Genomic DNA, 22788 nt, shown 5'->3' with positions numbered 1-22788 from the left:
GGGTAAAACTTGCTAAAATCAATTAACTTTTGTTGTGAAATTGCTCAGGAAATGCTGAAGATTTTTCATGAAAATGTGGCACTGTAGGAAGTTTACATTTTAGACTTTCTGTATTTAGACAATATTTATGACTTTGTCATAATTTATTTGAGAAGTTTTCTCTGGATGCCTCCTGTGTGTTAGGTATTATGCTAGGAAATGGAGAAACAGTGTGAGAGCATTGATGGTCTGCTGTACTCCAAAAATCAGCAAGTCATGGATTTCTTCTCAGCTTAAGCTGACACTTGAAGGTTGTCTTAGTGTGTATGTTGGGTTGGGGTTGGAGAGTGGGGTGTGGGTAAAGCTGGCAAACAGGAAAACCTTGGCAAATATTGCAGTTATCTGTTTAAACATACTAGGTGCTAGATGCACATTGGTTACTAGTGAGATTTAATTTTTAGAGAGCACAGGTGATACTGCATTTCTGAGTTAAGCCTTGTGGAAGCCAACTAAAAAGTCCCTTTCTTCCTTCAGGGAAGGATGGGAGAAGAAAGAGGAGAAAAGAAAGGAAAGGAAGACAGGAAGAGGTGAGGGATTCAGTAGACAGGAGGGAAGAAAACAACAGAGAAGGGGGAGGAAAAGGAAAGAGGGTGAATAATTTATTTCCGTAGGTCAAAATTGCCACTCTCTTTATTTTGTTAACATTGTTAAAACCTTTTTCATTGTGCTAAATGAATTGATATTACAACTGATCATTAATCTGGGAAAAGCCAGACAGAAGTCCAAGTAAAACAAGACTGTTTTTGCATTATTGTTATTTTTTAATTTTTATCTTTGTTTGAAACATGTGTCACTCTGTCACCCAGACAGGAGTGCAGTGACATGATCTCGACTCACTGAAACCTCTGTCTCCTGGGCTCAGGGAATCCTCCCATCTCAGCCTACCGCATAGCTGGGACCACAGGCTGTGTCACCATGCCCAGCTAATTTTTGTAATTTTTGTCTTTTTTGTAGAGACAGGGTTTCACCATTTGCCCAGGCTGGTCTCGAACTCCTGGGTTCAAGCAATCCACTCGCCTTGGCCTCCCAAAGTGCTGGGATTACAGGCGTGAGCCATCACACTCCTTCGTTTTCTGCATTGTTATTCCTCAGAATTGTTTCTTTTTCTCTTGGTCTTTCTCAGTTTAGTGCACAGTAAACTTTTCCTCAAACTTTGCAAAAAGCAGGGCACCCACCAGGCTGCATCTCCTCATGGGGGTGGGGGGGGGGACGTTTTTGCCCTTGTCCCTTGTCTTTTCTCCACGTCTCAGGAGCAGCCACCTTCCAAGGGGCCTCCACTTGACCTCTCTGGCTTCTCCAGGTATCCCCCAAACCTCTACAGCAAAATGAGCTCATCTCTGTGTTTTGAACTGGAAAAGAACAATTATTCCTTGCCTTCCTTATTCTTCCTCTGATTCCAAACAACCAGAAGAAACCCATACAATTTTTAAAAAACAAATAACAATCTGCATAAACAAGGTATAGCAGCAACTGAAATGTCAACATCTTAGAACTTTCAGTGCATGATCTGCCAGTCTAGGAAATCCACATGATGTAGTACTAGGTCTATGCTGCAATTTCTACCCAATGAAGAGCCGTTTGGGGTAGGCACAAAATAAAAGTTGCCATTTTAATAAAAAGTAAAAGGCTTGTATATATATGTAGAAGTCTGCATATGACACTTCGAAATGTGGGTTATAGTGGTGGCCAGTTTCATTTTGCAGAGTATGTGGAAAGTGAGTAAGATTTCCTATAACTCAGCATTACATGGAACTCTGCAGTAGCCAGAGACTAGCTATAAAGATGCTTTATGTAGCATCTGGTGTGTCTCTGCCATTTGTGGAAATGTTGAGATACTCCCTTATAGCTTGGTAGGTAGGTACTGTCCTGAGCCTGAACATTTCCATCATTCTAACACTGTAGCCCCCTCCACAGGACCTTTCTCTGAATTCCCTGAAGACCCAGAATCTAAAGAAAGTACATCCAGATTAACAAGTGGCACTCAGAATAGGGCTTCAGCTCCATGGCCTATGTCCCATTGTTGCCTGAGCTATACTGATTGTAAAATATATTTGAAAGTTATCCTGAAAATAATTATTCCAATGCTGTTGGCTTGACCAAACTATATACAGAAGATACAAAAGGGTTAGAAGAAAAAGAAGCAAAGTTATTTCAGATGAAACTGGGATCATTTCCCAAAGTAATAGCTCTCACCATTTCCCATCCTTAAGGAAAGATGATGAGGTAATTCCAGGGCCAGATTGCATATTATTTGGCGTCTTTTAATAATAAATGATACTACAGATATACACAGATGTAGGCAAAAATAGACATATTTTTGATAAGTGAAATGTAAACAGAATTTGTATAAATCAAATTATGTTTTTAATGTAAGAGAAAGAGTCCTTTTCTAGGAAGTATTGTGTCTTGCTTATACCGTAAGCCTCAGCACCCAGGAGAGTGCCTGAAATGCAGGTGCTCAATAACTTTTTTAAAAGTTAATTAATGGATGCATGTTCTTGTGGATCAACTAGGACTTTAAAAAACTTTCCTTCAATGCTTTCAACCCTTGTATTTGGGTATAATTTGCTCAGATTGTGAGAAGCAGAGACTGTTGTTATTAGGCTGCAGGCATTGTGTCTGATCTGAGCCTTCACTACTGACATACTAGAAAGTGTTACCATTTACCCAATGTTCACAGCAACATGCTGAGCATCTTGGGCAGAATGGTGAATGCAAAGATGACATAGAGTGAATTCTGACCTAAAGACCTAAAATAGTTTATATTTAGATGTTTTATACTGATTGAGGTGGTGAAGAGTGAACTAGTGGTATAATAGTAATCAAAGAAAATAACAGAATTCCACAATTTTCAACATATCTGAGATCTCACCCCTTTACTAGAACTTGGATATCAGATTCTCTTCAGGAATAAAGAGATTCCTTTAAACTGCTTTGGGATGAAGAAAATCTAGTAAATACAAAGCAAAAACTTCAGAAAGACAATTTTTTGATGCATCTTTCTTTCAAGCTACAGCCATTAGTTAGGGAAGGAAACAAATTCCATGGATACATCCAGCCTGCCTCTTGTCCCAACCTTATTTCCGACCTGTCACAATCAAGTTAAGGAAAGTTTTATTTTGCTAGTAGCAATGTGATCTCCTTCCCGGTCTCTATTCCCCAAACAACGATCCCTAAGATTCCCAGATCTGTGCTGACCTCCAGTGTCTCCTTGAGCTTCAAAATTTTGCAAGGCCGTGATTTCAAGCATGCTTCCAAACAAAATTTTGATGGATGGGAACTCTGAAGTCTTAATAGAATCTTTTCCTAAATTAAACAATACTTATAAATGCAAAGTAGTTATCCTTAAAATAATTCATTCTCCAATTGAAAAAAAAAACTCACATTGCATTCTTAAAGTGAACCATATCTCAAGATGAGAAGAGCTTGTTACATGCTATTCACACTTCTCCACTCCGTATTCTGGCCCTGAGTTGGACAGTAGTGAAGAAGTGATTTTTTTTCTCTTTCCTCAAAAAACCCAGTAACATATGCCACTGTCTGTTATGATTTTGCTAGCACCATTGACTAACTACCTGAGCACCAGCTGTGACTTCCATTAAGAATCTCTTTTTGGATGTAACTAGTGACCAAGAGTCCAAATGAAACTACCTTTATTTGCTGTTTCCTGCCCTCTAACCAAATGTTCTGACCACATGTTTGGCTTAGAAAGGAGAGGCTGTCGTTTCACTCCCTAAAAGCCAGTTTTTGCTAGAATGATAAGTGCTCCCAAGGCCCTGGGTGGCGGAACTGTTTGCCAGGTGTCACGTGCATGGCCATTATTTCCTTTCCAGGGATGTAATGCAATCTTAGCCTTTGAATCATGAATCTTTTTTGAAACAACATTTTCAAATATAAGGAAACAGATGAAAGAGTACATGTTATTTCAGTAAATGCTCTATTTTTTTTCTTTTTCTCTCTTGCCAAAAACAATAACCTTATCTGGGAGTCCCAGACCAAAACTTTTACCCCAAAGGCCTCTGAGTTAGAAAATAAAAATCACAATTTGGTTGCCGATGTTTAAGGCTCTAAAGCTCTTTCCCAAGTATCCATGTCTAGGATGCCGTCCTGTCTCTTGAGACTACAATGCTGTCTTTAGCAAGGCTCTTTTCTTTCTGAGTCAGACCCCTGCCTTTTAGCCTTAAAGATGCTCTCCTGATAACCCTAGTCTCCAAGACTTAATGGTGGTTCTTGGACTTAACCCAAAAGAAATTGCCACATTTTCTCCTGGCTAGGGAATTTCATCTCCTTTCTCAGTTTCTTGAGTAGAGCTACCCAGGATAGCTGGTGAACCCATCTCCTGGATTTTCTTTCCCCACTGCTCCCTCCTTTAATATTCTTTGCCACATCAATTGCCCTTGCATTTAATGACAACAGCTACCATTTGTTGAGCTATTTAATCAGAGAAAATTTAGCATTGAGGTTAAACGCATGGTATCTGGAGTCAGATTATCACATTTTGAAGCCTGAGGATGCTACACACAAACTGTGGGACTTTCATTATTTAACCTTCATTTGCCTCAGTTTCCTCATTCATTAAATGAGGCTAATAACTTTACCTCCCTCACAGGACTGTGTGAGAATAATATGTACAGTGTGTTTTTCCTGGCAGGTGGTAAACTCATATTAAATGCTAGCTCTGTTATTGCTACCATGTTTGGGTACAGTGGTAGGCAACCTCTACAAACGGCCCCTGATCCCTGCCTCCTAATATTCATGTCCTTGTGTAATCTCACTTTCCTGAGTGTCAGCAGGACCTAGTAACTCACTTCCAATAAAGAGAACATGGCTACTGCAATGGGGTGCCTGACAAAAGACTAATATCCAGAATCTACAAGGAACTCAAGCAAATCAGCAATAAAAAACAAATGATCTCTTCAAAAAGTGGCCTAAGGACATAAATAGACAATTCTAAAAAGAAGATATACAAATGACTGACAAACATACGAAAAAATGTTCAACATCACTAATTATCAGGGAAACGCAAATCAAAATCACAATATGATATCAACTTACTCCTGCAAGAATGGCCATAATCAAAAAATAAAAAAATAATAGATGTTGGTGTGGACGTGGTGGAAAGGGAACACTTTTACTCTGCTGATGGGAATGTAAACTAGTACAGCCACTATGATAAACAGTGTGGAGATTCCTTAAAGACCTAAAAGTAGATCTACCATTTGATCCAGCAATCCCATTATTGGGTATCTACCCAGAGAACAAGTAGTCATTATACAAAAAAGACACCTGCACATGCATATTTATAGCAGCACAATTTGCAATTGCAAAAATATGGAACCAGCCCAAATGCCCACCAATCAACAAGCGGATAAAAAAAATGTGGTATATATACACCATGGAATACTACCCAGCCATAAAAAGGAATGAAATAATAGCACTTGCAGCAACCTGTATGGAATTGGAGACCATTACTCCAAGTGAAGTAACTCAGGAATGGAAAACCAAACATCGTATGTTCTCACTCATAAGTGTGACAAAGCTATGAGGACGTAAAGGCATAAGAATAATATATTGGACTTTGGGGACTTGGGGAAAGGGTTGGAGGCAGGTGAGAGATAAAAGACTATACACTGGGTACAGTGTACACTGCTTGCGTGATGGGTGCACCAAAATCTCAGAAATCACCACTAAAGAACTTACTCATGTAACCAAACACCACCTGTTCCCCCAAAACTTATTGAAATGAAAAATAATAATAAAAACAAAAAATCTCCTCAGGTACATACAATGGCATATTATTTATAAAATTACCTTTAAAAGGAAGGGAATTCTGACACATCCTATGATATGGATAAACCTTTAGGACATTATGCTAAGTGAAATAGGCCAGTAACAAAAAGTCAAATATTATATGATTCTGTGTATATGAGATACTTAGCATATTCAAATCCATAGAGACAGAAAGTAGAATGGTGGTTGCCAAGGGCTTGGAGGAGACAAGAGGATTTCTTGTTTAATGAATACAAAGTTTGAGTTTTGCAAGATGAAAAGCGTTCTGGAGATTGGTTGCACATAATGTGAATGTAATTAACACTACTGAACTGTACACTTAAAAATAGGAGGGTCAATTTTATGTTACGTGTATTTCTATCACAAATAAATATTTCAAAAAAAACCTGCTGTACAGTGATTAAAATCCATAATAAAGTCGTGTCTGTATTACAGAGGAAAATTCAAATGTTTGTTAAATAGTAATGAATAAGTTTTTGCCTTCAGAGAACTTATATTTGGGCTAGAATCCTACCTCTGATTCTAACAAAGAAAAATAGTATATCAATGAAAATATATTTTAGCTAACTTCCATTTTCTGAATGTGGACTTTCAGAATGAGAGATTAATAACTTAGTGTATTGTTTGAAATGATTTTAACTGATTTTAACTGATTTGAAAATGCTATTAAGTAGAACCCATCTCATATATTGAAGATGAGAAAGACTGTGAGAGGCTGATGGAGGAGATTGTGGTGTGGCGGAAGGTGGGAAAGGAGAGAGGGGACAGAGGTCCAAAAGGGTCTTCCCATGATTGACATACTTGAGTTACAGCTGCTGAGATAGAGGAGAGGGTGCTTAATACAAAACATAGATGCCTTCAAAACAAATATTATATTTTGACTCAATAAAGAAACATTGGCATTTTTCAGCTTTAATTTAATTTATTACGCTCATGGAAATTTTGCCTCAGAATGCAAGTTCAATTTCTGCACTCAATATGATTATTCCTTATGCAGTAATTAAAGAGAATCATTGGCACTTTTTCAGCTTTAATTTAATTTATTACTCTCATGGAAATTTTGCCCCAGAATGCAAGTTCAATTTCTGCACTCAACATGGTGGTTCCTTATGCAGTAATTAAAGAATTTTTAGCTTAAATTAAATCCATCCCTGCAATATGTTCTGTGGGCTATAGCATTAAATACAATGCATGTTATCTTTAATACAAATTAAGACCTTAAAATATTTCATAAACTAGGCTAAAACATAAGCAATTCAATCTGAAAATAATCATTGTGGTATTGCAGCTGGTTCAAGCAGCTATATTAGAAGTGTCTACAGCTGGTCCTTTAAGCTACAATAAATGGGTTTGTTAAATATGTCATTTAAAAGTGCATAATTTGACCTGTTTAATCACAGCCTAACACAGCCTCATATTGAAATGAAGGTACTGTCAGTCTCTTTTAACAAATTTGCCTTCAGTGAGATTATAAGTTACAAGTAATATATTGAGTTTCCCCTGATAAAGTACCATTATTTGTGGGCCCTCAGAATTCAGACATGTTTTAAGGGATCTCCTTTATGTGAAGGCCTTGTTGGGATTGGTGGCTGGATGTATGATATATATCATATATTAATATATATGGTAAGAAAGAGAGAGAGAGGAGAGAGAGGGGGAGATTGAAAGAATTAGCTCATATCATTGTGGTGCTGGTAAGTTTGAACTGTCTTGTGTGGGTAGCAGGCTGGAAACTCAGGCAAGAGTTGGAAGTCTCTGTCCTGAGCCTAAAATCTGTAGGTCTGACCAGCAAGCTGGATACTCAGGCAGGATTTCTATGTTTCAGTCTTGAGGCAAAAATGCTTATTCTTCAGTAACCCCCAGTTTCTGCTCTTAAATCCTGATTGAATGAAGCTCACTCCATTATCAAGAATAATCTCCTGTCTGTAAAGTCAACTGATTGTAAAGATTAATCAGATCTACAAAATACCTCATTGCAGCATCAGGCTAGTGTTCAACCAAATAACTGGGCACCATTGCCTCACCAAGCTGACACATAAAATTAGCTATCACACCTGGTCACTAGGGCTAAAACCCTAAGTAACCAGGAAATAGCGGCTACCTCTTAACCCCTGAGACTGAACACCAGGTAGACAAGGGGCTTATTTCTCAGGGACTCGGGGACCCTGTTAACACAATATGGCCTCCCAGTGTCCTACTTGAAATCCAGAGTTGGTCTCTGGGATCTCTTGCTACAGGTGGATCCTGCATTCTAGCTGTCGTATCAACGCTTGGAAACTGCCCTAATGCCTCTCTGCTTCTCAGAGGTTTTCTGTTCCACTTCTTAGCCTCCTTCCATGTGCAACTTCAGAATTCAACAAATGTCTTAAGGAGAAAGATAGCAAAACATTGGACTCAGTTCGCTACTCTTTCCTTTTCAGGAGACTTCTTGGCCCTCAAGGTCTCTAATTTTGGTTAGTCTAACCCAAAGAGTCAGCCAAAAGCTTTGCTGGCTTTTCTGCTTCCTGGCAGGTGGCCTGAGCCTTCCACCCGCATACTCAATTTCTTTTAGTAGCAAATGCCTTGAATGAAAAAATGGATTCAGAATGGCAGCTCATCTCTGTTGCAGTGATCCCTTCTCTGTATTTTGTCTTAGGTTCCGGTTACTTTGAAAACTTTCTGGTGGCTTAAAGCAGATGTTTTCTGCTAGTTTTTCTCTATTCTAATTGTTTTCAGTGTGAGTGTTTGTCAGCTGTATACTATTCCATTATACTCCTTTTTATCTCTCTTTTGTAGTCTCTCTCCAACTTCTTAATACATTTAATTCTTCAATCCATCTCAAACTTATTTTGTTTCAGATTAAGAGGTTAAAAAATTTTATCCCAAAGTATCTGAATTCCCCAACATCACTTTACCCCACTCTGAGCAGAATAGCTGCACCTCCATGGGTTCTCTTATAGACAAATTTAACTAATATTTTCTAGATATTTTGTAATTTAGATGTTGACTTTTATTTTGTTCCTAGATTTGAAGAAAGAGGGCTTTTTAAGAAAATTAATCTCCAGGTGATAAGCTTTTCCTCCTAGTTTTGTTTTTATGTTTTAATTTTATTATATTATGGAAATATCATGTGTATGTTCTATTTTTTGGAATTTATTCAGTGTTATTTGTATCTTAATATATGGTCTCTTATTGTGTTTCATAATCACTAAAAAATGTACAAATTCTGTGAATGTTTATGTGTTTGTGAATGTGTATGAACATATAATCTATTAAATTATTTTGTTCTCTGTTTCTCAGAGTTTTGAATTTGTCCTGTTGTAGGTCAATAGATACAAATTAACATCTTCAACTGTGACTATATTTCTATTTCTTGTGTTTTCTACAATTTCACTTTATGAATATTGATGCTATTATTCATCTACATGGATTTGACATTTTATCATTATATAGGACACTTATTTGTCTCTTCCAATGTCTTCTGCCCAGAAATCAACTTGTCCCTGCAGTAGGTAATGTTATCCTATTTACTTTTTTTTGATAATACAGATATATTATGTCTTAATTTTGTTGTGCTTTCTTTTTTCACTGCTTTAAAAAAAATCTTTCTCTATCTGTGTTTGGCTTTATTTAGTGAAGATAACTAAACACCAAACACAATCAACAAATTGTGTTTGTTAAATAAACATACACCTAATATGTTTTTAATGGTCTTAATGGTTTTTAATGGTCTTAATGGTCTTTTAATGGTCTTTAATCTCCCATTGTGTTTCATAATCGTAATAAAAAAGCATTAAAAGAGAATTCTTTTAGCTATTAATATTACTTCTCCCCAGAAAACAAGGACAGCAACGTCAGAGTTGCTCAGAATTTAGTCTCTCTCCTTTCCCTGTCTCACTGACAGACTACTTCCTACAAAGATTGTGGGTTTGTGAGTTTCCCCCTTCAGTTATCTCTTCTCTGCTCTTCCATGGAGACAAATAAGACCAAGGAAACTTCAGCTTCTGGCCTTCATGCCCCGTTCCAAACAAAGAATTGCTGACTTTGCCTCCTGGGTTGTATCACTTTCTTTGCAGCCCCTTCTCTGCCAGCTTTAGGTATTCTCCTTCAGTGGCATTTCAAAGCTTAGTTTGATCTTCCCTACGCTTGACAACCTTTCTTCTGTAATGGCTTGGGTTACAGATTCTGTGTTTCATTGTCCCTTTTTTGTGATTTTGTATTGAATCACAAAGAAGGAAATGATTAGAACTTTAATTTGGCATCTTAAAAGAGAAAAATAATAGCTAACACTTAAATACTTTACTTTGTATATGCCAGGTACTATTCAAAGCATTTTTTCATGTAATAACTAATAATCTTCACTTTGCGAATGAGGAAACAGTGACACAGAGAGGTTAAGTGACTTATCTTAGGTAAAAAAAAATGGGAGTAAATAGATGAGCCCAGATTTGGAGTTAGGCAGGTGGGCTCCAGAGTCCATGGTGCACTTTGCTATACTGCCTTTCAATCTCATTTATTTAATAATTTACACTTTTCTTGCTGTTGTGTGATTTTCCTTTAATGTGTATGTGAGTACATATACTCCAATTATTTTAATTGCTATCCTGGTCTTCCTGTTCTGTCATGAATCAATGCCATTCTCTGTTTCTTTCTTTCTTTTGGTAGTTTCAAATGCATTTTAATACCTGTGAGGTCAATTCTCACTGTTTTAATTTTTCAATTTTTTTCCTAACTACTCCATTATCTTTATTCATACAGATGAACTTTGAAATCATTGTACCAGGTTTCTAAAAAATCATCTAGTGATATTTTCAATTGATTGTATTAAACTTGGAAATTATTTTGAGAAGAAATGATACATTTATAGGACTTTGGTTCACTACATTTATCCTTTTATAAATAGCATTCTTATTTATTTGCAAGACTGATCAATAATAAAACGGGAAGGTATAAGTGAAATAGAATGAAAAAGGATTTTGGACACAACACAAATTTAGATATATTAAATGAGTACTGTAAATAATTCATAAGTATGGCTGCTTATAAGAAGCTTTTGGTATTTAAAACTTGTAAGGGATTAATATCTGGAAAATACAAGAAGCTCCTGCAAATCAACAAGAAAAACAATAATAGACTACTAGATAAGTAGTCTAATAGTCAAATTAAAAAAAATCAACTGTCACCTTACTTGTTAGACTGGACAAATTAGGAAGCTGGATAATATTACACAGCTGTGCTGTGCTCAAATGTCTCTGTGAATATGTTGGTAGTTCATCTCTGTGGGAGTTTGGTTATTGATTCTAAAAATTCCTTCTCTGATTGCACTTCTTCAGGATCAGGATGATATATCACTTTTTTCTTCCTTCAAATAAGTGTATTTGAAAATAAATACACATGAGATTTCTATATAATATCACTATACACAAACAAGAATGGCTAATATTTAAAAAGACTGATAATAGTAAGGATTAATGAATATGTGGATAAATCAGAATTCTCACATACTTCAGTTGAGTATAATTTGAAATAGCCACTTTGTACAGTTAGTATTTATTATCTACTAAAGCTAAAGGCATCCTTATTTTTTGATCTGGCAATTCCACTTTTAGGTATATAACCAAAAAAATAACATGCAATATGCTCCTCAAAATACAATCACTGAAATGCTTATTGCAGCATTAGTTGTAAAAGTCAAAAACTGGGTGTGGGGGGCAATCCCCAATACCCATCAGCATGATAGGTGAACAAATGTGATATATCCACACAATGAAATATTACACTGATCTACAGACACATGCAAAAATATGGAGGAGTCTCACAGACATGGTGTTGAGCGAAAAAAGCCAGACCAAAAAAGAGTACATACTGTATGAGCCATTTTATATAACACAAAAACTAGTGGAACTCCTCTATGCTGCTAGGTTACCCCTGGATGGGCAGGGCTGGAGGGAGCCTGGGGGGGTTTCTGAGATCCTGTTGTTATCCTGATTTTTTATTTGGCTTCTGGTTATGTAAATGTGATTAGTTTGTGAAAATTTGTTGTGCTGAACACTTAGGATGTACATACTTTTCTGCAGGTATGTTGTACTTCAATAGAATGCTTTTAAAGTACATGTATGCAGTTTTCCCTGCAGAGGCTCAGTGAAGAGGGCAAACTGTCAGTCTCTCAAGACAGTGAGTGGTTTTGATCTTTCTCAGACAATGATCCTTGATTCCAGAGAAAAGCCTGGCCAGATCCCATAACTTTTAACCATAAAGAACCAGATAGACCAAAGTGAATGTTTAAAATATAGTTAACCTATTTTTCAGATTTCAAAAATGGTTGAGTGGAAAAAAAATCAATAGTATTTTCAACTAGAAAGACTGTCCCATATTGACCTTTATATTAATTTTCTGGATAGTTGAATTTGGAATTTCAAAGCTTGTAGGGGTTTCTTTGGGGAAAAATGTGAGTTTTCCAGTGATAGTGTTACTAACTATACAGCTTGGAAGTCTGCATCTATTTTGACAAAATAATTTGTGTTTAGTTTACTAATATTGTAATATATTCAATTCTTTTGGAGAAAGAAAACAGACATATTTGTGGATAATTTGCATTGCCTCTTCTCTTAAAGTTTTGCAAATAATACATGATCAATGTTCAAGATGCCATTTCTCTTAGGAATTCAAATTCAGCCATCATTAATAGAGAACTTCCTTTGCACAAAGCACCATTCTGGATATTTTATATTTTTCAATTTAATTTTTATTTCAATTGTGTGATGTGGATATTTAACACCATTATATAGATAAGGAAACTATAGCTATCGAGGTTGATTTATCCAGCTAGAATTCTGACTCTAAATCTAGGACTTTTAAAATATCGTGCTAGGTAAACTTCACAGACTGTCTTCTTCTAGAAAATGTCATTGCAGAGAAATCTAGGAGGCAGGGAGCCATATCCTGTTGTCACCAAGGCATCATCCTATGCTCATAAATCAGCAGATGTGAGGCCAGGAGAAGCAGGTATGGAGAAAGGAATACAGGCTCAGGAAGGTTACGGGCAGACAGGGAGAGCTTGCCAGGGAGAGTTTTCTAAGCATTTCCATTCTTTTCTACTTAGGATGAGGGCTAAGCAAACAAAATACAGTCCACAGTTTTTTTCTCTGAATCAAACATGAGTTTGACGACCTTATTATAGGGAAATTTACCAGCCCTTTTTCATCTGCACAAGATATTGGTAAGAAGAAACAAACCACAGAGCCCTTTTGTCCCATGATCTTGACCTTGGAATTGCTAAAGAATGTGCTCGTTTTTCTTTGTCAGTAGCTGTATTGGAACTGAAGAGTGAAGAAATTGAATTTTGTAAACAGAGTTTGGAAAAGACGCACTTTGGTTCCAGGAAAGAATTCACAGTGACTCCACTCAATAAGAGTTGAGTTGGCAGCTTCAACATCTTCTCTGGGAAGCCCCCGAGTAGCTTGGAGAATTGATGTTGCATAAAAGGATAATCATTGTCATTTAAAAGAATTAGTGTTTGGGTTCTTCGAGTGACATTGTGAGAAGAAAAATATTTATTAAAGATTGGCCTGTAGAAGGAAAAACTAGACCCCAGAGACAATAACAAGAGAAAAGAGTAGTGATCTCAACTCTCCTCCTATTAGGGAAGAAAAAGCACACACACACACACACAAAAGTAAAAAAAAAATGTTGGGGTGACTGACATTTTATTCTTTATGCCTTTCCCTTTAAAACAAAAATAGACTTGGAAGTGGAATAGTGAGACCACTTACATATGTACAAAATTTTACTCTTAAAACTCTCCTTGACCCTTAGAACCTTAGCCCTAATTGCTATTTTCACTTCTAAATATCATTCTGCATGCATTCATTTATTGAATTGTTTGTGCCTACTGAGTCTTTTTTTCCCTTTGGTTGAAAAAGTCAGCTTTCAGAGGCTTTTAATTTTCTTCCAGATTCCTTGAATGACCTCTAAGTTACTACCATAAAAGCCAATTGATGCACAAATATTTTTCCAGAGAGGGGTCATGGTTTTGAAATTTAAGCCTAGGGCTATCATTTGAGCAAAATCTTTTGTTATTTGTGAATTTGCTTTCATTTGGTTTTCCACTTGAAACTAATTAAATAATTTGAATTGAAACAAGTTGAGGTACATCTGGAAAGAGCAGCTGCCAAATAAATGCTTGTTGAGTTAATAAATAAATGAATGAATGGGCTAATCTACTTAAATCTGATTCTGTCTCTGAATCTGAGAAAAAAAAAGTGGTTGAAATGGACTCTTCCTTGATTGGTCCAAGACTTTTACAGGACACTGAAATCTCTAGTTATTTTCATCGTGAATAGTCCTCCGGAATTTCTTTAATGAAGAGATCTTGAATATACAGCTAACCCTTAGAAGAGGTTACAAACTAATTGTCTCTGAGCCAAATCCAGCTCCAAACATATTTTATTTGACATTCACAGTCTTTTAAATTGTTTGAATTTAAATTTACAAACCAGGAGATTTTACCTAAAAGCATAGGTTCTATCTCTTCTTGCACTAGGTCTGCACATCTCCACAATATCACACACGGAACAGAATAGCAGCTACTTGCTGTAGATAAGGCATAGGCTCTACAACTTACTACAGTCCACGTTTGCCCTAAAAGGGATTACTATTAATAGGTATTGGCACTGTTATTTTTCATATATATAGTAAGCACATATTTCTCTGTGTTACAAATTTAGACTGAGAGCTGTATAATTCTAGAAAAAAATGGAAAAAAATCATCTGTTTTTCTTTTAATAGAAAAGTTCATTTTATATAAAACTTAAACCTTTAAAAAAAAAGTCTGCCTGGCTTCTTTGGGCATCTGTGCTTATTACTATCTTTTTTCTGTGATAGAGATTCTTTGCTTTTTGTTTCTAACAAAGCAAAGAATCTCTATCACAGAAAAAAGACGGTAAAGCAAAAGTTTTTGTTTCTGCTTTTGTTTCTTTTATATAAGTCATAATGGAGAGAAAATCTATTTTTGTCTACAAATCTTTTTCAATGTTTTAATTTTTTCTCTCAAGGTTTATCTGAAAAGTGATTTCATCAACCCATGTTGGAAGCTTATCAGACACTGCTGGTATGGGGCAAAAACTGGGGAGATGAAACCATGAGTCGATTCAGACAAAAAGTCAGTCATGGACTGGGACCTGGTATCACACACTGGGGCTGAGCCAAGCTGGAGTCAGGCAGGAAGCCAAGGACTGGAGCACCAAAATCAGACAATTACCAAGAGGGGCCAAGTCAAGAACTTACTGGAAGAGCCAATTCAGAGATCAGGAAACTTGAAGAAGAAAATATGATTGGAACCTATATCCTGTCTAGGTCTCAAGACTTCAACACACATAGAAGCTTGAGGCCACACTGGGTTTTTGGCAACTAGGTTTATCTTAAACTTAAAAAAAGTTTTTAAATCATGTTCTAACTAATTTTTCCACCAGGTAACTTGATATAAACATACAAATGGTTTCTTTAGCAGCTTCTTTTAAAGTATATATTTTATTAAAGTATAACACACATTCAAGTGTTCAGCTTAGTGAAATTTTACAAGTGAACATACCAGATAATCAGCAAGTAAATCAATACATAAAACATTATCAGTACCTTTATGCCCTTACCAGGTACTACTCTTCCAAGGATAGCCACTATGCTCATATATAACACATAGATTACTTCTTTCCTGCTTTTTATTTATACTAGTGAAATAATACAGTTTATACCGGCTTCTTTTGTTCAACATTATATTTGTGAAAATTATATATGTTACATGTAGCATTGTTTTTCTGCTGTTGTATGAAAATTCCACAATTTAGGCATTCATTCTATTCTTGATGGACATTTGAGATAGTTTTGGTTTGGTGCTGGCACAAAAAATTCTGCCATGCACATTTTTTTACATGTTTTATTGTGACTATATGTATGCATTTCTTCTGGACATACGCTCGCAAAGGAAATTGCCAAGTCATAGAGAATGTTCATGGTCAGCTTTCCTAGATACAGTCAAATAGTATTCCAAAGTATTTATATCAACCCATACTCCCACCAAGAATTTAGGAGAGTTCTGGTTGATTCACAAAATCACCAACACTTGGGATTGCTTATTTATTTTAGCTATTCTTGTAATTGTGAAATTATATTGGTTTCAATCAGCATTTGAACTTTTTTCCTACGTTGGTTGGTCATTTGAATATCTTCTTTTGTAAAGTGTCTTTTCATTTCTTTTGCCTACTTTATCTATTATGTTATCTGATTTTTTTTCTATTCACTTTTGGGAGTTTTAAAATATATATTCTGTATATGAAATTTTTGGTGATATCTGTATTGCAATATCTTTGTTCATTCTGTGGCTTGTCTTATCACTGCCTTAAAAATATGATTTGATGGACTCTCATTCTTAATTACAGTAGCATCCAATGTATCTTTTTTTCTTTATGGTTAGTGCTTCTAGATTGCATCAAGGTCATAAAGACATTCTTACTAAGTTTTAACCTAGGAACTTCATTGCTTTACCTATCGTATTTCAGTCTACCATCTGTCCATCTGAAATTAATTTCTATTTCCAGTGAAAACAAAAATTAGGAATGAAACTTTATTTTGTTCAATATGTATATCCACTTGGCTCAACATCGTTTATTAAAATCATCCTTTCCGTGACCCCACTGCACTCCAACAATCAAGTGACCTTGAATATGTAGGTCTGTTTCTGGACCCTCTATCTGTTTCATTGGTCTGTGTGTCTATTCTTGCACAAGTACCACACTGAAACTGCTTAATTACAACATTTCTTAACATCTAGTAGTGTATAAGCTAGTAAGGTTTGTTTTTCCTCTGTAATATTGTCTTAGATTTTTGCATTTCTTAGATTTTGCATTTCTGATATAAATTATAGAGACATCTTGTTACTTTCTACATGTACACACTTACACACACATACACATACACACAAACTTGTTTGAAATTTGATTGAATTTTCATTAAATTTGTAGACATTTTTACCATGTCGAGTCTCTTTATTCATTAGCATGGCTTTAGTACTTATTTATTAGGCTTTCAGCTTTTTCTCAAACTTACTTATATTTCTCAACCCTACTTGTATTTCTCAAAAGAACACATTGATTCTTTTGTATCTCACAAGTGTGACTGGGTTTTTAGGCTCATGTGTGAGATGAGCTTCCCTCAAAAATTGTTGTGACTGTGGCATGTTACCTGTGTGATGTGAAAATAAAAAGGCCACACCATCTTCCCTAGGAAATTTAAAGGAACATCACTACTATTTTTAAGTTTTTCACTATTTTGTTAATATATCCTTTTTCTGATTGCATAAAGAATAATTATTTAAAGTATAAAACTTTAAACTACTAAAAAAGAAGAGAGGAAGTCAATAAAATTTCATTCGTGATCTCAACCATCTTGTATTAGTGTATTCTTGCATTGCTATGAAGAAATACCTGAGACTGGGTAATTTATAAGGAAACAGGTTTATTGGCTCACAGTTCTGCAGACTGTATAACAAGCGTGATGCTGGCATCAGCTTGGCTTCTAGGGAGGCCTTAGGAAACTTACAGTAATGGAGGAAGGCAAAGGGGAAGCAGGCCCTTCTTACACAGCCAGAGCAGGATCAAGAGAGAGGTGGGGAGGTGCTACAGACACACTTAACCAACCAGATTTCATGAGAACTCTCTCATGAGAACAGCACCAAGAGAGATGGTGCTAAACCATTGATGAGAAACTGCCCCCATGATCTAATCAATTCCCACCAGGCCCCACCTCCAATGTTGGGGATTACAATTTGACATGACATTTGGGCAGGGCCACAGATCCAAGCCATATCATATCTTTTATACTCATGGTGAATATTTTGGTGTAAATATCTTCCATATGTACCATTAAAAGGGTGTCATATTATATATATATATTCTTGTGTATCCTTCTTTGTCTCTTGATATTTCAGAAATATTTTCTCACTCAAAAATTATCATTTAAACATGACTTTTTAAATTACTAAATAATACTATGGGCATCAAATGTGTGGGTATCAAATAAACTATTTAATAAAGTACTTATTGGTAGTTTCAAATTTTATTTTCAGATAATTTTTTCTATTCCGAATAATGCTATAGCAAACATCCTTGTAAATAAATATTTGATTTTATGACTATTAGAACTTTTTAAAAATATTGAAATAGAGATGGATACACTTCTAAATGTTTAATTCTCATTGCAAAATTACTATGAAATGTTAACACCAATTGATATAAACCACAACATTGTAAGAAAGGGCCCATTTCTCTGGAACACCAAATGGTGTTGGCAATAAACTACATTTGGTAATTTTCCCCAGAAATATAAAATGCATTTTCCCAAATTTCCCCTGAAAACTTCAGTGCCACATAAGCTCTTTATGAGATATAGCTTCATGGTTAGTTTTCCTCTAGCGTTTTTCTCATATTACAGTCATATGATGGGATGAAGATTTTAGATATCTCAATCTCTATTTTTTTCTCTGCTTTCAACCTTCAGACCAAAGATGGCAAAACAGAAAAAATAAGATTGATAATGAATAAAAAGATGGATTGCAACCCATAATGGCTAGGGTTGGGAAAACAAGCAGATTTACTGTTGGTGGAAATGTACATTGGTATCAGTTTGAAAGGCAATTTGATTATGTCAGTATCTGTGAGCAGTTAAACACTTAAATGATACATATTCTTCACCAAGCAATTCCACTTTTGTAATTTTTTTCTGAAGGGAAAATTATAAAAGTGCACAAATACTCATAGAAATACTCAGTGCAGTATTGGTGAAATGAGGAGAAAAGAGAGAGAGAGAGAGAATGAAAGAAAAAAGAAAATGAACAACTATCATATAGAGAATGCCATGCCGTAGAACATCTATGGCACAGAATACTGTATTGATATGTAAAGAAAATGCTATATATATGAATGAATAGATAGTTAAGATATTCTGTAGTATAAAAAGGAAAATGAAGACCAATAGCTGTATCAATTAGGATTGATTCAAATCTAATACAGAAATCTACACATGCAGGTTTAATTTCTTTTTTCCATCATGATACTCATACACAATTATATTTTTATAATATCGTATAAAATATATTATATTTTTATAAAATATGGGAGGAGAGGGCTATTTGTGGACTGAAGGAGTCAACTAAGGACATCTCTTCCCAGGCCCCCTCATCCTCTCTTTTACATTTCAACTCAGAGGGATGCAAGGATCAATATCTCCGCATAGCTGTTACACAACTGTGGCCCTGCTATACATAATAAGACTTACTTTTCTTCTGTAACAAGGAATCAAAGGGCATAAACCCAGGGAGAACTTAGTGTAAAGCACCACAAATTTCATCAGGGACCCAGCTCCTTCCTATATTTCTTCTCTGTGATCCTTAACAGGAAGCTTTGGTCACAAGTTTCCATCTCTGGTCTTCCATTTTCCTTTCAGGTAGGAGTGAGAAGGAAAAATGAAGAAGCAGGGATGGCACCTACATTAGGAGAGCAAAACTTTTAGAAATCTTCAGCAGATTTCTGCTTCCATCTCATTAGCTAGAACTGTGGCACAAGATGATCCGTAGCTATAAGTAATGTTAGGAAAAGTAGTTTTTGAATTGGATACAAAGCTGCTTTGAACAAAATTGGAGTTTATGTTAGTTAAGAAAGGATAATAGACATTGAGTGGGCAGTGCCTGCCACAATACCTAGAATATTACTCCATTATCTTGCAAAGGTAAATTAATGTTTAGTTATACCAACACTTCTATACATGATTTCATGTATATGTGCATAGAGAAAAGGCTAGAGGGAAATACAGGAGAAGTGGAATTATTGCTGAGCCAAGTGAACTTCTGTTTTCACCTTATGTATGTTTTAATCGCTTCAGCTTTCTTACAGTGAACATGTATTCCTTTCATAAGGATACTTTTACAGATAAAAAGGTCACTCCTAAAATGAAATAAAGAAAAAGGGGAAGAAAAAGAGGCAAAAGCTACTAGGATTTCAAATTCAGATGCCAAGATGGTAGCTCTGTCATAAAAGAAAAAGAGCTTCCTAGTCTGAAGTCATTTATCTGGCACCATAGCTGTCTGAGCAGATCAAGTAAAACTTCGAGAAGCAAATTTTAAATCTTCAAGTCTTGGTATCTGTATGATTTCCCAAGTAGTTCAAAGAAAACATTGGGCCAACCAACAATATAGAAAAAGCTCAAATCCATCATCCACAATTTTTGTAGGGTCTACTAAAAAATTATACTATGCATATTCCATGGGAAAAGAAAGGACAAACAAAATGGCAAGATCTCTGGCTTCTAGCAACCAGTAGAAATGTTGAGGAGGAGACTTCCTGAACAAGATCCATCTGGATAGGTTATACTATCAGATATGTTGCTATTTCTGCGATGTGAAATGAGATGTGACATAAGTAATAATAAAAGTAGTGAGACCAGTTAATATTTACTGAGTGCTTACTATGTACCAGGCAGTAGGCCAAGTATAATGCAGGACTTCATTCACTGTAATTTTCATTCTGACCTTATAGAAAAGGAAACTGGGAGAAACCAAATGACTTGCTGAAGTCCGCACAGTTAATAAGTGGCAAATCTAGCATTTCAATGCAGTCCATCTGATGGGAGAGCCAAAGTTCTTAAATGCTGTGTTCCACTATTCCTCCTCACTCCGTGAACCTTCTATACAATCCAGAGATAATCCTGCTTATACTGAACTGTCTCCAAAGACTCACACTTTTGAGCAGACAACAAAGTTGCTGGCCTTTCATTTGGAAGACTGTTGCTAAAATGCTCTTGTAACCTCTGAGGAGAGTGAGGCCCTATGGCAAAAGTATAGTACCATAGATGGATTAAATCAGATTAGCCCTACTGAAGGCACAGAGAGACTGACTTAGATTGTGTAGGCCTGTAACAGGCCAAATACCAGTGCTGCAGGGAAACTTGAGGGGCATGCAGTGAGAGACAGCAATCACAGAGCTGGAGCTATGCTGGGAGTGTTGGTGCAGCTTAGGGATATAAGTTCTACTCTGGGGAAAGAACCCTTGAGAGAGAAGAAATGGTTGGGTTCCAAGGACTATGGCTTAGTTACATGATGAGCAGGCAGGACAGTAACTCCTCCTGCCTCCCCTCACTCCTCCTTTCTCTGTGAGGAAAAAGCAGCTGACAGGGCAAAGGACAACAGTGAGCCAAAGAGCTATGGAGCTGCTGTGGTCAAGGGTGTCTGTGCTTTTTATGGAATATGGTGCTTATCTCCATGGGTGTTTGATTCTTCATTCTGAAAATTATTTTTTGCACTTCTTCTGGGCCTAGTGCCTAGGTTTATCATTAGTTCAGAGTTACCTTTTTGGGTGGGTTTATCGTTTATGTATACCACATTCCACAGAATTATCCCTGAGAGATTTGTCTGGAATGGCATATTGATTTAATGCATGAATCAACTCCTCTTGATGAGTATGGGTAGCTGGAGAACTAGGTTAATAAACTGATTCCTGCTTTAGCAGAAAAGAATGCTAAGATGTTCACTATGGATGTGTGTTGGGGTAAGTACCAATTCTGATCCTGGGTCATGTGTTCCTGTAGTTTATGGTACTGAATCAGAAAAGGCATGGGAGATAGATGATAACCATTTGGAAATAAGTAGGGGTAAAAATTAGGTGAAAAATATTAGCGGGAAGATCCTGACTGAACACTGGGCTGGCTGGATGTAATAATGTAATAATGCTCCCTTAGACCAATCCATTTCTTGTTCTCTGAAGGACCTTTCTCCTAGCCCTAAATATGTGTCCTTAAATTGCTCCTGATTTTTTATAACTTCACCCTCATTTTCACTCCTCCTAGTCTTCTCTATTCTAAGAAGTTTACTTTCAACAAGTACATTTAAAGGGAGGAATTGCAAATAATAATTTAATTTAATTCAACACAATTCATTGGTCAGTTGAGGTGAATCAAATTCCTCTAGTTATAAATTTCTAAATTTATAAACATTCACACAAGGTATACATACAAGCAAAAGCATATCAACCCTTTCTACCACTAACAGTTTTCTCATTCACTAGTATGTCACTTTAAACTTTGAAACAAACAGCCTTATGAAGCTTTCCTTGTTCTTAAGCAGAAGCCTTCCCCCTCCCCCACTTTTTTGAGATGAAGTGTCTCTCTATTGCCCAGGCTGGAGTGCAGTGGCGCAATCTTGGCTCACTGCAACCTCTGCCTCCTGGGTTCAAGCTATTCTCCTGCCTCAGCCTCCCAAGAAGCTGGGACTACAAGCACCCGCCACCACACCCAACTAATTTTTGTATTTTTAGTAGAGACGGAGTTTCACCATGTCGGCCAGCCTGGTCTCAAACTCCTGGCCTCTAGTGATCTGCCCACCTCTGCCTCCCAAAGTGCTGGGATTACAGGCTGAGCCACCGCACCGGGCCCAGAAGACCTTCTATTGTATAATGACAGACCTTATCATGTACTAGATGCTGGAAGTACAAAGATGAATAAAACAGCCACTTCCCTTGAGGATCTCACAATATAAGCTGAGTATTTCCACAAAAAAGATGAACAATACTATCATAAAAGCAGTCAAAAGGGGGAGCACTTATCAAGAGCTGTGAAGGATCTGGAATTTTATTTTCTTAGCAGGGTAACAAATTAATCTAACACAATTTCATAGAAGCTGGCAAAAGACACAAGACTATAGCATCAAAGACGAAGAACTCTATTACTCATGACACAAACGTAAGTGTCCTCTTTGCTTCAGTTCCTTTTTCCCAACCATTCCCACAAGAGCGCTTTAGATAGATGCTGGACAAGCAGTAGATTTATTTCACAGCTGAGGGCCCCTGAGCTTAGGGAGCCTGTGTCTTTCATACCACACGGTGAGCAAATCTGCCATTTCCTTCAGAGAGAGACATTACATCTATCTTCCAAAGCTATTTG

The 22788-nt window shown here is 36.4% G+C and overlaps 3 non-coding genes across 3 annotated transcripts; 2 read left to right on the top strand and 1 right to left on the bottom strand.

Moving 5' to 3' along the window:
* The first annotated feature begins 14672 nt into the window (after positions 1-14672).
* Positions 14673-14749, top strand: MIR4679-2 (microRNA 4679-2). Its single transcript, NR_039827.1, has one exon. It is a non-coding gene; the product is annotated as a microRNA 4679-2 (primary transcript).
* MIR4679-1 (microRNA 4679-1) lies at positions 14674-14748 on the bottom strand. The gene has a single exon (NR_039826.1). It is a non-coding gene; the product is annotated as a microRNA 4679-1 (primary transcript).
* Positions 14750-16952: 2203 nt separating the features above from the next.
* On the top strand, positions 16953-17053 carry LOC124902587 (small nucleolar RNA U13). The gene has a single exon (XR_007062420.1). It is a non-coding gene; the product is annotated as a small nucleolar RNA U13 (small nucleolar RNA).
* Positions 17054-22788: the final 5735 nt, after the last annotated feature.

The sequence above is a fragment of the Homo sapiens genome, chromosome 10, assembly GCF_000001405.40.
Source record: "Homo sapiens chromosome 10, GRCh38.p14 Primary Assembly".
Taxonomy (NCBI): Eukaryota; Metazoa; Chordata; class Mammalia; order Primates; family Hominidae; genus Homo; species Homo sapiens.
This window is presented reverse-complemented; position numbering and strand designations above follow the sequence as displayed.